We start from the raw sequence: 15,655 nt of genomic DNA on the forward strand, positions 1-15,655 counted from the left end.
GTCCTGTGAGCCACTGTAGCAAAATTAATCAAACCCAAGGAAGGGTTCATGGGAACCCTAATTTCTATTCAGCTGGTCAGAGACACAGGTGAAACAACCTGGGGCTTGCTATTGGTATCAGAAGTGAGGCGACTGAGCCCTCAACCTGTGGGATCTGATGCTACCAAGTAGATAGTGTCAGAATTGAGTTGGAGGTCACCTACCTGGTGTCTACTGTATAATTGATTGCTTGCTTGTTGGTGGGGAGAAATCCCCACATATTTGGTCACAGAAGTCTTCTGTGTTAATTGAGTGCGAGAATCTGAATCTGAGTTTTTTTCACTTATCTATAGATTCATTCATTCAACAAATATGTGTTGTGGACCCTCCTATGTGGCAGGCACTGTTTGGTAGGATAGGGGACAGCCATAAACGAAACAAAATCGCTGCCTTTACAGAATGTACATCTAGTGGGGAAGGCAGGCAGTAAATAAGTAAATACATAGCATATCAGATGGTATTATGTGCTGTAGAGAAAACGAGAGTATTGGGGTTGGGAACAATTTTTATTTAAGGTGTTTGAGGAAGGTGACATTTGAACAGTGATCTAGAGGAAGCAGGGCCTTGAGGATATGTGAGAAAACAATTGCTGAGGCAGTGGGCCTGCAAAGGCCCTAAGGCAGAGCATGCCTGGTTTGTTAGAGGAAGGAGGCCAGTATGACTGGGTAGCAGCAAGGTAGGGAGATCTTGGAAAGAGCTCACATCAGAGAGGTTGTCGGGGACTCAATCAGGTCCACTATAAAGACTTTGATGTTTACTCTGAGTGAGCTGGGAAGCTGTTAAAGGGTTTTGGTTTTTTTGTTTTTTGTTTTTTTTTTTTTGAGATAGAGTCTTGCTCTGTCACCCAGACTGAAGTGCAATGGCGCCATCTCCACTCATTGCACCCTCCACTTCCTGGGCTCAAGTGATTCTCCAGCCTCAGCCTCTTGAGTAGCTGGGACTATAGGCATGTACCACCAATGCCTGGCTAATTTTTATATTTTTTGTAGAGACAGGGTTTTGCCGTGTTGCCCAGGCTGGTCTCGAAACTCCTAAGCTCAAAGTGATCCGCCTGCTTCAGCCCCACAAAATGCTGGGATTACATGTGTTAGCCACCACTCCTGGCTATGCTATTAAAGGATTTTGATTAGAGGAGAGACATAAGTGCATTTTAAACACATCATTCTGTTAGCTGTGTTGAGAACCTATTGTAATAAAACCTAGGTGAGAGGTGACTTGGGCCAAGATAGAAGATGTTGAGTTGGTGAGGAATCGGCTTCTGGATATATTTTCACCTTTGAACTGATAGAATTAGATGTTGGGCAGAAATGAGGGCAGGGTGAAAATAAAAGTTCATGTTAATTTATTAACATTCAAGGAAATATTTTTTAAATTAAATTTATTTTTGAGACAAGGTCTCACTGTATCACTCAGGCTGGAGTACAGTGGCAAGATCAAAGCTCACTGCAGCCTCAAACTCCTTAGCTCAAGCAGTCCTCCCACCTCAACCTCCTGAGTTGTGTGCCAACTCACACTTGGCTAATATTTTTATTTTTTGTAGAGACAGGGTCTTGCTCTGTTGCCCAGGCTGGTCTCAAACTCGTACGGTTTTTTGTTTTGTTTTTTTTTTTTTTATGAGACAGAGTTTCGCTCTTGTCGCCCATGCTGGAGTGGAATGGTGTGGTCTCGGCTCACTGCAACCTCCACCTCCCGGGCTCAAGCGATTCTCCTGCCTCAGCCTCCCAAGTAGTGGGGATTACAGGCACCTGCCACCATGCCTGGCTGATTTTTGTAATTTTTTAGTAGAGATGGGGTTTCACCATGTTGGCCAGGCTGGTCTTGAACTCCAGACCTCAGGTGATTTGCCCACTTCGGCCTCCCAAAGTGCTGGGATACAGGTGTGAGCCACTGTGCCCGGTCCAATGTTTTAATGTATGTATAATATACATTGTGGAATGATTATACCAAACTGACATATCCATCACCTTACATACTTATTTTTTTTGTAGTGAGAACATTTAAAATCTGTTCTTTTAGCAATTTTAAAATATACAATACATTATTGTTGACTACGGTTACCATGTTGTGCAACAGATCTTAAAACATTATCTTCCTGTCAAACTGAAAGTGTACACTTTGGTCAACATCTCCTCATTCCTCCTCTCCTCACAGCCTCTGATAACCACAACTATACTTCCATAAGATTTTTAGATCCCATATGTAAGCAAGATCATGTGGTATTTGTCTTTCTGTGCCTGGCTTATTTCACTTAGCATAATGTTCTCCAGGTTCAATTCTTTTGTTACAAATGACCAAATTTCCCTCTTTTTTGTCCGGGTGTGGTGGCTCACGCCTGTAATCCCAGCACTTTGGGAGGCCAAGGAGGCTGATCACCTGAGGTCAGGAGTTCAAGACCAGCCTGGCCAACACAGTGAAACCCCATCTCTACTAAAAATAAAAAAATTAGGCCGGGTGTAGTGGCTCAGGCTTCTAAACCCAGCACTTTGGGAGGCCGAGGCATGTGGATCACCTGAAGTCAGGAGTTTGTGTCCAGCCTGGCCAACACGGTGAAACCTTGTCTCTACTAAAAATACAAAAATTAGCTGGGCATGGTGGCACACTTCTGTAATCCCAGCTACTCGGGGGGCTGAGGCAGGAGAATCGCTTGAACCTGGCAGAGGTTGCAGTGAGCCGAGATTGCGCCACTGCACTCCAGTCTGGGTGACAGAGCAAGACTCCATCTCAGGAAAAACAAAACAAAACAAAAAAATTATCCGGTTGTGGTGGCATGTGCCTGTAAACCCAGCTACTTGGTAGGCTGAGGCAGGAGAATCGCTTGACCCTGGGAGACAGAGGTTGCAGTGAGCTGTGATTGCATCACTGCGCTCCAGCCTGGGCAACAGAGCAAGACTCCATCTCAAAAACAAGGCAGAATTTCCCTCTTATTAATAACTGAATAGTATTCCAGTGTGTGTGTGTGTGTGTGTGTGTGTGTGTGTGTGTGTGTATCACATTTTCTTTTCCATTCATCCATTGATGGACACTTAGGTTGGTTCCATGTCTTGGCTATTCTGAATAATGCTTCAGTGAACATAGGAGTGCAGACATCTCATTGACATACTGATTTCAGTTCTTTTGGATATACACCCAGAAGTGGGATTACTGGGTCTTATGGTAGTTCTGTTTTTAGTTTTTTGAGGAACATCCATGCTGTTCTCCATAGTGGCTGTACTAATTTACATTCCTACCAACAGTGTGCAAGGGTTTGCTTTTGTCCACATCCTTGCCAACTCGTTATTGGATAAATATTAAGCAGTTTGATTTTTTTTTTCCATTGCCCTGGCTGGAGTACAATGGTGCAATCATAGCTCACCGCAGCCTCAAACTCCTGGGCTCAAGCAGTCCTCCTACCTCGGCCTCCCAAAGTGTTGGGATTACAGCCACTGCACTCAGCCAAGCAGCTGGGCTTGTAAGAATAGAGTTGAAAGGGGCAGGTGTTCAAACTGGAGATGTAAATTTGGGAATCCCCTCAACATATTGCCAGTGTATAAAGAAGTAAGACCTAGGACAGTTCACTGACTGCTCATCAGAACCCCTAGGGGAACTTTTAAAAATGCTATTTTCTGGGTCTGTCCTCCCAGAAATCGTGACCGAATTGATCTGAGGTAAGGTGAGGGCATTGTATTTTTTTAAATAGTCTAAGGTTATCCTATATTTGAACATTTTTGAAAAAAAATTTTGCACATGAAGAACACATGATGTTGTTCTGACATACAGTCTTTAAAATATTTATTTTTTTTTTGAGACGGAGTTTCGCTCTTGCTCAGGCTGGAGTGCAATGGTACGATCTCGGCTCACTGCAACCTCTGCCTCCCAGGTTCAAGCAGTTCTCCTGCCTCAGTCTCCCGAGTAGCTGGGATTACAGGCATGTGCCACCACGCCCTACTAATTTTGTGTTTTTAGTAGAGATGGGGTTTCTCCATGTTGGTCATGCTGGTCTCAAACTCCTGACCTCAGGTGATCCACCCGCCTCGGCCTCCCAAAGTGCTGGGATTACAGGTGTGAGCCACCGTGCCCTGCCTAAAATATTTGTTTTAAAGTCAGAATAGGCTGGGCATGGTGACTCACGCCTGTAATCCCAGCACTTTGGGAGGCTGAGGCAGGCAGATCACTTGAGGCCAGGAGTTCAAGACCAATGTAGTCAACATGGAGAAACCCTGTCTCTACTAAAAATACAAAAATTAGCTGGGTGTGGTGGTGTGCACCTGTAATCCCAGCTACTCAGGAGACTGAGGTATAAGAATCACTTGAACCTGAGAGGTGAAGGTTACATTGAGCCGAGATCGTGCCACTGTACTCCAGCCTGGGTGACAGAGCGAGACCGTGTCTCAAAAAAAAAAAAAAAAAAAAAAAAAAGTCAGAATAAACTTGCTTAATAAAATTTCCATGCCTTAAGCATTAGAACAATCATCTAAATCTGCAGTGACATTTTAAGTGCCAAATCTTTCTCCTAGCTATAACACTAAGAGGTCTCAATATCGCTTAATCAGAAAAAAAGGAAAGATATCATAGCTAAGAAAGAGAAAAAAATGAATGGAATACAGGAAGCTCCTTCACTTCTGAATTAGTCGTGAAGGTAGTCACAATCTGGAGTTCAGTTTTTTTGTATCAGGCACTTTTTCCTTAGTGAATTTTATTGGGTTAAAACAAATCACAGTATCAAAGAGACACAAAATAAAATGTGGGTAAATCAACCATCAAGGAAACAATTAGGAAGCTCAATTGCAGGGGTCCAGATGAAGACAAGAGAGACAGATGAAGATAGACAGCTTAGACTAGGATAGCAAACGTGAAAATGAGGAGGAATAGATGGATTTGGACTATATTTTGGAAGTCTACTAAAGCCTGGAGATGAAATACCTGATCCTTATTGCTGTTTCCAGATATTTCACCCTCTCACATTCCTAAAAACCTATAGCTTTTACTCTCAGGTCACTAGAATATACCACCTACTATCTCTTGTTGCATTGTCAATTTATCAGCTCCCCCAAAGTCACTCCTGCTTTCTCAAAAATACTGGTTTCTGGCTCACTGTCTGTCCAACTCCATTCCTGTCTTAATTCTTGGCTTTTTCAGTGTATATGTAAATGGTCCTTCCAACACCCTCACCTCTCTGTTCCTTCAACTCATATCCAGTGATCGTGTCCTATACTCCTCAGCTATTCACTTCCATGATCATATAACTTTGCCATTGTGAAACCCTCCTTAATCTCATTCTTTGACCTCTACCTCTTATCTTTCCACTCCCTCTAATACTGTGACTCCAGCAATCCTTCAACTACATCAGGATTGGATTTAGTGAAGTGGAGGCCATTGGTGAGAATGAGAACAAGTACTTTTTTTTTTTTTTTTTTTTTTTTTTGAGACGGAGTCTCGCTCTGTCGCCCAGGCCGGATTGCGGACTGCAGTGGCGCAATCTCGGCTCACTGCAAGCTCCGCTTCCCGGGTTCACGCCATTCTCCTGCCTCAGCCTCCCGAGTAGCTGGGACTACAGGCGCCCGCCACCGCGCCCGGCTAATTTTTTGTATTTTTAGTAGAGACGGGGTTTCACCTTGTTAGCCAGGATGGTCTCGATCTCCTGACCTCATGATCCACCCGCCTCGGCCTCCCAAAGGAGAGCAAGTACTTTTGAGAGTGTGAAGGGAACAGATGATAATGTTTGACAGTGGGATTTTAGTGAGAATGTGGTACTATCAATAGATATGGGTCTTGATCCTATAGGACTTGCTGATGGATTTGATGTAGGTGTTGGAAAGGAGAAAAATCAAGATGACTTCCAGATTTTTCACTTGAGGCACCAAGCCAGTGGTAGAGTCATTTATAGAGTTGAAAAAGATTGGAGGAGGAGCAGATTTGGTGGTTGTGTGAATCAAGAATTCTATTTTGGGGCCAGGTGTGGTGGTTGGTGCCTGTAATACCAACACTTTGGGAGGCCGAGGTGGGAGGATCACTTGAGACCAGGAGTTTGAGACCAGCCTGGCCAACATAGGGAGACCCCATATCAACAAAAAATAAAAAATTAGTGGGTGTAGTGGTACACGCCTATAGTCCCAGCTACTGGGGAGGCTGAGGTGGGAGGATTGCTTGAGTCCAGGAGGTTGAGGCTGCAGTGAGCCATGATGGCACCACTGCACTCCAGCCTGGGTAATAGCAAGACCCTGTCTCAAAAAAAAAAAAAAATTCTATGTTGGCAGAGTTAAATTTGAAATTTAGATATCTAAGTAGAGATGTAGATTAAGGAATTGGACCTAATCACTTGGAGCTCAGGGAAGAGGTCAGGGCTGGAAGATAGGTTTTGCAGCACTTACTCTAGGGTGGCATTCAAGGTCTGGGGACTGGCTGAAATCACCCTAATTCTCTGAAGGGTGAATTAAGGTTACAATTTGAGAAGGCTGTAGGTTTCCACTTGAACAGAGAAATTAAGGCTATCAGGATTTTGATAGACAGTGAATTCCAGAGAGCATGGAGCAAGATTTTCAGGCTTGTGATAATTTTGGACGCAGTCTGTAAGGACTATAACTTGTGCTAGTACCAGCCAATGTTGCTTTGAAACAGTTTCAAATCTAGTGTGATCTGGCTGCACAAACCCCAAGGATGACTTATCATAAAACTTTAATTATATTAAAATATATCAGATATTTTTCCAGTTCTAATCTAGTCTTGTCCCAGTGTTTTCTCTCTAAATTTCTGGATCTGAAGGATTTATCAGTTAAATGGAAAAGGAAAGCAAACAAAATACCTTGATTTAATCTACATTAGAAAAATGCCATTAAATGACTTTCAAGATCAACTTATTTTTCATAGTTTTATCTCACCTTGAATATTTCCTAGATCTATGAGCATATGAATCGAGACATCTTGCTTTCAAAGGAAATTAAGATTTTTAAAATTATTTAATTCATTTATGTGATTCAAAAGTCTAAACTATATAAAAATTATACAAAGAGAAATCTTGATCCCACCTCTGTCTTCTCCACCCCTGTTGACCTCACCCTAACTCTTATAGTTCTTGCATAGTTCTTACTTATCCTTCCATTGTTTCTTTTTTGGGGGAATGGGGCGGGGATGGAGTCTCGCTCTGTTGCCTAGGCTGGAGTGCAGTGGCACGATCTCAGCTCACTGTAACCTTCGCCTCCCGGGTTCAAGTGATTTTCCTGCCTCGGACTCCTGAGTAGCTGGGATTACAGGTGCCTGCTACCACGACCAGCTAATTTTTGTATTTTTAGTAGAGACGGGGTTTCACCATGTTGGCCAGGCTAGTTTCGAACTCCCGACCTCAGGTGATCTGCCTGCCTCGGCCTCCCAAAGTGCTGGGATTACCAGTGTGAGCCACAGTGCTCAGCCTTAACATTTATATTCTTATCCCTAATACAAAAGTAGCGTATATACTGTTCTGTTCTGGATTCGTTCACTTAATGAATCTTGAAAATCTTTTCATATCAGTACATATAAATTTTCCTCATTCTTTTTTTTTTGTTGTTATTCACTTAAAAAAAATAGCAACATGCGTTGTGAAGATGTACCATGGTTTATTTAATCTGTTCTTTATTGCTAGGCACTTAGCTTGCTATCTGGTAATTAAGATATGTATCTATGCCAGAGATGAAAATCCCTTAGAAGTTAGTCTTTATCTCCCAGCTTTTAGAAACCAGGATCTAATGCATTGGGGCCTTCTACAAAGCTGAATCAAATTCTGAATTTATTTTTAATAATTTAACTTTTAAAGAAAGTTGCTTTAATAAAAAAATTTTGAATTTTATTCAGAAAAAGAAGGAATTAATTTCAAATTATTGCAGAACTAAAGAGCTCCTAGTGGACTATCTAGTCAGCAGCCATCAGCATCAGTACTTGCCATTTGAGCTCGAAGTCATTAGCTTTCTTCTATGATTCAGGGAAAGATACCTTGAAATCGTAAGAATAGTAGCATTGAATTACAGTTTCTAGGTCAAAGTAATGGAGACATTACTTTAGCTGTGGTTAGCTGTGAACTTGGCTGGCAGATTTTCCCTACTAAAGAAACAAGCTACTCAGGTCCAACTGGAAAAATACACAGAAATCCAGACTGTTGACCTTGGCAATGGAAGCCCTATTTTCTTCTGAAAGAAAGCACAGTAAAATCGTCTTTAGACAGATCTCAGCTGGGCATGGTGACCCATACCTGTCATCCCAGCACTTTGGGATGCTAAAGTGTGCAGATCACTTGAGTCCAGGAGTTCAAGACCAGCCTGGGCAACACAGTGAAACCCTGTCTCTTCAAAAAATACAAAAAATTAGCCAGGCATGATGGTGCACGCCTGTAGTCCCAGCTATTCAGGAGGCTGAGGTGGGAGGATCACATGAGCCCGGGAGGTCAAGGCTGCAGTGAGATGTAATGATGCCACTGCACTCCAGCCTAGTTGACAAAGTGAGACCCTGTCTAAAAAGAAAAAAAAAAAGAAAGATCTCCATGAGGGATGAAGCACAGTGAAATGATTGTAGTGTAAATCTGTCTCTCCTTGGGAAAAAGATCGCATTCTGAAATTTTCTTTCAGCAAACTAAAGCTAAGCCATTTACGTACTCTTTTCCTGCCAGATTAGTGGACTGACTAAGAGGAATGAATAGCGCTCCTTATCTAGAAAACCATTATTTAATGGTGGCCTTAAGTGAAGCAGCATGCCTCAACTTCTGCAAGAATTCCTTATGAGTTTTTGTATCTCTCTTCTCAGCAGGACTAATGAAGTTCTAAATATTAGTTGTGACTACTCTTTTAAATGCCACTCTGGGGAAGGCCACATGTTGTGGCTCTTCTTCTTTGCTGAGCGAGTCAACAACTCACATTTATTATACAATAATAAATTCCCTTTTTGCCAGGTACTGCAGAATAGGCATGGTCTCTTTCCTCCAAGCCCCATGCACAGTGAAGGTAGCTTTCAACACTGCCAATGTTTTACAGCAATTGGATTCCAGATTTGGATAGACATTATGAAGTGAGTGTGGTTTACCACTAATAAGATTTCATTGCTCTTTAGAGATGTGTGATAAACAATACTATAATTGTTAGGTTTTAAGACGGTCTGTAAGGGTATATAGATTTGTGCAGAATTTAGGTTTTTTTTTTTTTTTTTTTTTTTTTTTTTAAGAGACAGTCTTGGCCGGGCGCAGTGGCTCATGCCTGTAATCCCAGCACTTTGGGAGGCCGAGGCGGGTGGATCATGAGGTCAGGAGATCGAGACCATCCTGGCTAACACAGTGAAACCCTGTCTCTACTAAAAATACAAAAATTAGCCGGGCGTGGTGGCGGGCGCCTGTAGTCCCAGCTACTCGGGAGGCTGAGGCAGGAGAATGGCTTGAACCCGGGAGGCGGAGCTTGCAGTGAGCTGAGATTGTGCCACTGCACTCCAGCCTGGGCGACAGAGCGAGACTCTGTCTCAAAAAAAAAAAAAAAAAAAAGGCAGTCTTAGCTCCATCACCCAGGCTGGCATGCAGTGGCACAGTCATAACTCACTGCAACCTCGAACACCTGGACTCAAGTGATCCTCCTACCTCAGCCCCCGAGTAGCTAGGACTACAGGCATGTACCACCATGCCTGGCTAAAGAACTTAGGTTTTTATGTCCTGTTGTGCAGTAAATTTTTTGAGCGTGAAAATGGTTTAAAGATTCATTCTCACTTTTCTGTAAGTTTCATGGAAGTGCAAACTATTTCTCTCTTATTTCCTCTCCTTTAAAAAGTGCTTTGTACATAATAAGCAGTCAGTAAATATCTATGGATTGAATAAATGAATTCCTTGTATAAAGTATTTTTTTGTCCATTTGTTCATTCCACAAATTTATTTATTTATTTATTTTTAGACAGAGTCTCACTCTGTCGCCCAAGCTGGAGTGCAGTGGCACAATCTCAGCTCACTGCAACCTCCGTCTCCTGGGTTCAAGTGATTCTCCTGCCTCAGCCTCCCGAATAGCTGGGATTACAGGCACCTGCCACCATGCCCGGCTAATTTCTTGTATTTTAGTAGAGACAGGGTTTCACCATGTTGCCCGGGGTGGTCTTGAACTCCTGAGCTCAGGCAGTCTGCCTGCCTCGGCTTCCCAGAGTGCTGGGATTACAAGTGTGAGCCACCTCGCCCAGCCCAGGAAATTTATTAAGTTAAATATTTATATAGTTTTAGGCACTTGGTGGAAACATCAGTGAAACACATCTACATTTGATCTCTGCCCTCATGGAGTTTACCAGTAAACAATAAGTATATAATAAGTGAGATAGTGATCAATGCTAAGGGGAAAAATATCAGGAAAGAAGAATAGGAAATGTTGGGGGAGGGATATACAAGTTTATGCATGCTATTGAAATTTTAGATATGGTGGCCAGAGATCTCTCTAAGATGGGACGTTTGAGTAAAGTCCTGGAGGAAGTGAAGGAGGGAGCTTTAAAATATGTGGGGAAAGAGCATGCCAGTCTGAGTGGAAGGAACAACAGGTGAACAGACACTGAGGCAGAAGCAGCCTTCTTGTAAGTAGAGCAGGAGGCGAGGACAGAAAGGTAAGTTAAGGCAGGTCATGTAGAGCTTTCTTTTTATTTTACTTGAGACAGAGTCTCACTCTGTTACTCTGGCTGGAGTTCAGTGGCATGATCTGGGCTCCCTGCAACCTCCACCTCCATGGCTTAAGTGATTCTCCTGCCTCAGCCTCCCCAGTAGCTAGGACTCCAGGTGCGTGCCACCACACCCAACTAATTTTTTGTATTTTTAGTGGAAATGACTTTTTATTATGTTGGCCAGGCTGGTCTTGAACTCCTGACCTCAAGTGATCTGCCCACCTCGGCCTCCCAAAGTGCTAGGAAGTGTGAGCCATCGCGCCCGGACATGTAGAGCTTTCTGTGCATTGTACAGACTTTGTCTTTTACCCAGGGTGAGATGGGAAGACATTGGAGGATTTTGAGCAGTGAAGTAATGTGATGGGATAGACATTTTCAAAGGATTCTCTGACTGCTGCATTGAGAATAGATGGAAGAGCAGTAAGTGCAGAAGTTAGCAAGCTGCTACAATCATCCAGGCAAGAGATGTCCAGGGTGGTAGTGGTACAACATATTTAGCAGTGGCTGGATTCTGAATGTATTCTGAATGCAACACAGAACATAATAGCTTATAGATCTGTTGTGAAAGAAAGACAGGAGTTGAAGGGTGAGGACCAGTGTGGGCAAATGCATGTACGGTTGATATTGAGTTGTATCTGCAAACATACTCAGTATGTTGTATTGAAACACTGTTCGTATATGTAAAGCAAAAATGTAAGACTCCCTGGGAAAAGGTAGTGCAAAGTAGCATGCCCTGTTCAATGTCTTGACTTTTGTACTTGTGCAGCTTAGCACTTCCCACACTGGAATATGTGCAACTTCAGGCTCCTTATGAGTAGGGTTGTGGCTTTAGTCTTTATTTCTCTATTTCCTAGCAAAGTACCTGACACAGAGTAGACACTGAATATATGTTTGCTGAATAAATGAAGTTTTCTGAATATATTATGTTCCCAAGCATTTTCCATATATCAGTTTATTTAAAAATCCTTGTTTGCAAAACAGAAAGGTTTTTAATGTTTAAACACACACACACACACACACACACTGCAAGTGATAATAGGGTTCTGCTCAGAAACGTATGCTTCTGTGCTTTTTATTTTTTCTTTTCTTATGCTTTTAAAATACATATTATAATTCAATAATGATTTCTATTTATTTATTTATTTGAGACAGTCTCTCTCTGTCGCCCAGGCTGGAGTATGGTGGCGCAGTCTCGGCTCACTGCAACCTCTGCCTCCTAGGTTCAACAATTCTCCTGTCTCAGCCTCCTGAGTAGCTGGGATTACAGGCGCACACCACGCCCAGTTAATTCTGTATTTTTGGTAAAGATGGGGTTTCACCATGTTGGCCAGGCTAGTTTTGAACTCCTGACCTTAGGTAATCCGCCCACCTCGGCCTCCCAAAGTGCTGGGATTACAGGCCTGAGACACTGCACCTGGCCTATATTTTCTTTTTAAAAAATGTGGTCTTTTATTTGAAAATCTTCAAGCATATATGTCAAAATAGAATGCACATTTGATCACTTAAGTTATAGTAAAAAGGTCATAATGGATCTTTCTATGCTCAGTATAGATTATACTGTAACGTACTGTATACAGTAGATAGTGTGTACTGGTAATTATACTGTAATCTACTGTATATGGTAATCTATACTGTATACGGTAATGCTGGAAGCTTACAGTTCAGATTTAATCATTGCTTTCTAATACCTGCGTTATAACAGGTTCTTTTGATCTATGATTATGGAGTCATAATTTTTTTAAGCCTCATCAGAATAATGCAGATTTATTTCGAACTACCATCCCTTTCCCAAAGCTCTTGACTTTAGATTTCTTCCCATTTCAAAAGGCAAAATCTCTGGAGAACTTGCATCGAAATATATAAAAACCTCTAATTAACAAACAAGAACACAAATAACCCAATTAAAAATGGGTAAAAAATTTGAACAGATCCTTAACCAGAGAGAGTATACGGATGTCCAAATAAGTGCATAAAAAGATGCTTACATCCTTTGTCATTAGAGAGATACAAGACTGGGCTTGATGGCTCATGCCTCATATCCAGTGTTTCAGGATCTTTGGGGTGTCAGTTTAGGGTGTTGATTTTGGCTTTGGTGGTCAGGTTTCCAGAAAGAATGAGGTACACAGACAAGTGAAGAGTGAACAAGATGAACTTTATTAAGTATTATAACAGCTCAGAGGAGACCCGCAGTGTATACAGCTCCTCTCTGTAGGTAGATCATCTGTGGAGTGTTCAGTTCTCAGCAGGGAGGAGGCCCTGGAGAGGGTAGCTCCTCTCTGCAAGTGGTTGTCTCAGTGCAGTTCTCAGCAGAGAGAGGACCCTGGAAAGAGTGGCTCCTCTCTGCTGGCAGGTCATCTCTGCAGCTCTCAGCAGAGAAAGTAGCTCCTCTCTGCAGCAGGCCCTAGAGAGAGCGGCTACTCTCTGACGGCAGGTCTGCTCTACAGCTCTCAGCAGATAGGGTACTCCTCTCCTTTCTCTTCCTCTGCTGGCCCTTCTCTGCCCTGCTCTTGGCTGAGCCCAGGGCTTTTATGGACCTCAGAGGGTAGGAAGTGCATGCTGATTGGTCCATGGTTGGCCATGGGCGGGCCCAGAAGAGGCACGCAGAGTCCCCACTCTGGTCAGCTGGACTGGCAGCCCAGCCCCCAACCTTCAGGCCCTCCCTAGTCTGAAGATGGGGCCTTACCTGGGATCCACCCCCTTCCACCCAGGCCTGCCGCTGCTATTCAGGGCTCCAACCCAACCCAACCCAACTCCCTGATCAGAGCAGGTGCCGAAAAGGAAAGGGACCAGGCAGTGGAAGCAGACAGCCCAAACCTGCAGAGAAGCGGATAGGGGGCCTTCCCAGCCCGAGGGTGCAGGCTGCAGAGACTCCCCGGTCCTGCAGCTGGGACGGTGGCCGCAGCTACACCCTGGGAGCTCCCGCCCACCAACGTGGAAGTGGGGGGGATTCCTGCTTTTCCCCGGCTCCTGCCTGCTCTGTGGAGTGGGAGGCACAGGTCTGCAGCCGAGGGTCAGGCATTGCAGCTGCACAGAGGAGGGTAGACCCTGCATGCTCCTGGCCCCCTCCAAGAGCACAGGGAGGCTCGGATCCACAGCCATAGTTTGGGTGGCTGTAGCCCCACCCAGGAGTGTGGGATTCCTGCCTGCTCAGTAGAGCAGGAGGCCTGGGTCTGCAGCCTCCCTATGGGTGCCTGCAGCCGCACCCAGCGAGCTCCCACTACACCTTAGAAGGGGTGGGGCTCCCACAGGCTCCATGGAGTGTGCAGCCCCAGCTATGCCTTCCTGCTGCAGCCAGCGTGATGGCAGCAGCTACTGCCATCACTAGCACTTTGGGAGGCCAAAGCAAGTGAATCACTTGAGCCCAAGAGTTGGAGACCAGCCTGGGCAAAATGGCGAAACCCTGTCTGTACAAAAAAAAAAAAAAGCCAAGTGTGGTGGTGTACCCCTGTAATCCCAGCTACTTGAGAGACTGAGGTGGGAGGATCACCTGAGGCTGAAGTCAAGGCTGCAATATGCCTTGATTACACCACTGCACTCCAGCCTGGGCAACAGAGTGATATCCTGTCTCAAAAAAAAAAAAAAAAGAAGAAAGAAAAAAATAGAAAAATACAAGTTAAAACCACGAGATACCAGTACACACCAAAACCAAAACCGTCTCCCAAGAAATCCCCCAAAACAAAAAAGGTAAAAGAGTGACAACACCTTGGCCAGACATGGTGGCTCACGCCTGTAATCCTAGCACTTTAAGAGGCTGAGGCAGGAGGATTGCTTGAGTCCAGGAGTTTGAGACCAGGCTGGGCAACACAGCAAGACCCTGTCTCTACTAAAAATACAAAAATTAGCCAGGCCTGGTGGATGTACCTGTAGTCCCAGCTGCTCGGGGAGCTGAGGTGGGAGGATCACTTGAGCCTAGGAGGTTGAGGCCGCAGTGAGCTGTGGTCATGCCACTGCACTCCGGCCTGGGTGACAGAGTAAGACCCAGTCTCAAAAATAAAATGAAATAAAATAAAATAAAAAGAGTGACAACACCAAGTGCTGGCAAGGATATGGTCCAACTAGAACTCTCATACATTGCTGGTGAAAGTGCAAAATGGTACAAACCCTTTGGATAATGGCTTCCTCTTCATTTAAATCCTCTTCATTTAAATAGGGCGGGCACAGAGTAAATGACTTTGTAACTTCATCTTCTTCATTTACATAGTAACCAATGGAAACCTGTAGAGGGTATTTAAACCTCAGAAAACTCTGTAACTGGGCCCTTGAGCCGCTTGCTCGGGCCGCTCCCACCCTGTGGAGTGTGCTTTTATTTTCAATAAGTCTCTGCTTTTGTTGCTTTATTATTTCCTTGCTTTGTTTATATGTTTTGTCCAATTCTTTCTTCAAAACGCCAAGAACCTGGACACCCTCAACTGGTAACACAGGTGCTTATAGAAGTTGATATCTTATGGCTGGGTGCTGTGGCTCACATCTGGAATCCCAAAGCACTTCGGGAGGTCAAGGCAAGAGGATTGCTCAAGGTTAGGAGTTTGAGATTAGCTTGGGCAACATAGTGAGACTCCGATCTCTTTAAAAAAAGTTTATTGTTTAAACAGCAAATACAAGTGTTTCTAACATAACTGCTTGAAACTGGAAATAATCCACATGTCCTTTAACAGATGAATGAATAAGCGAACTGTGGCACAACCATAAAATAGAATACTGCTCAACAATAAAAACAACCTGCTGACACACACAGCGTGAGTGAATCGGAAATGCATTATGAAAGTAAAAACGTGCTGTTTTTCTTTACTGAAAGCCAGTCTCAAAGGGTTAAATACTGCATAATTCCATTTATATGTTATTCTGGAAAGGCAACAGTATAGGGATGAAGGGCGGATCAGTGTTTGGCAGTGGTTAGGTGGCGGGGAGGGTTTGGCTACAAAGGGGCAGCCTGAGGGAATTTGGGGGGTGATGGACCTTTCCACATCTCGATTGCTATTGTGCTGACATGAATCTGTGCCTGCTT

General features: G+C 43.8%; 1 annotated feature.

The window, feature by feature from the left end:
• Nucleotides 13,094-13,594: an enhancer, noted in NCBI's record as "H3K4me1 hESC enhancer chr16:47025988-47026488 (GRCh37/hg19 assembly coordinates)". NCBI's record gives its function as "activates a minimal SCP1, AML or CMV promoter by ChIP-STARR-seq in naive H9 embryonic stem cells {active_cell/tissue: H9 hESC(naive)}" and the evidence as "EXISTENCE:reporter gene assay evidence [ECO:0000049][PMID:30033119]".

The sequence above is a fragment of the Homo sapiens genome, chromosome 16 (genome assembly GCF_000001405.40).
Source record: "Homo sapiens chromosome 16, GRCh38.p14 Primary Assembly".
NCBI classification, from domain to species: domain Eukaryota; kingdom Metazoa; phylum Chordata; class Mammalia; order Primates; family Hominidae; genus Homo; species Homo sapiens.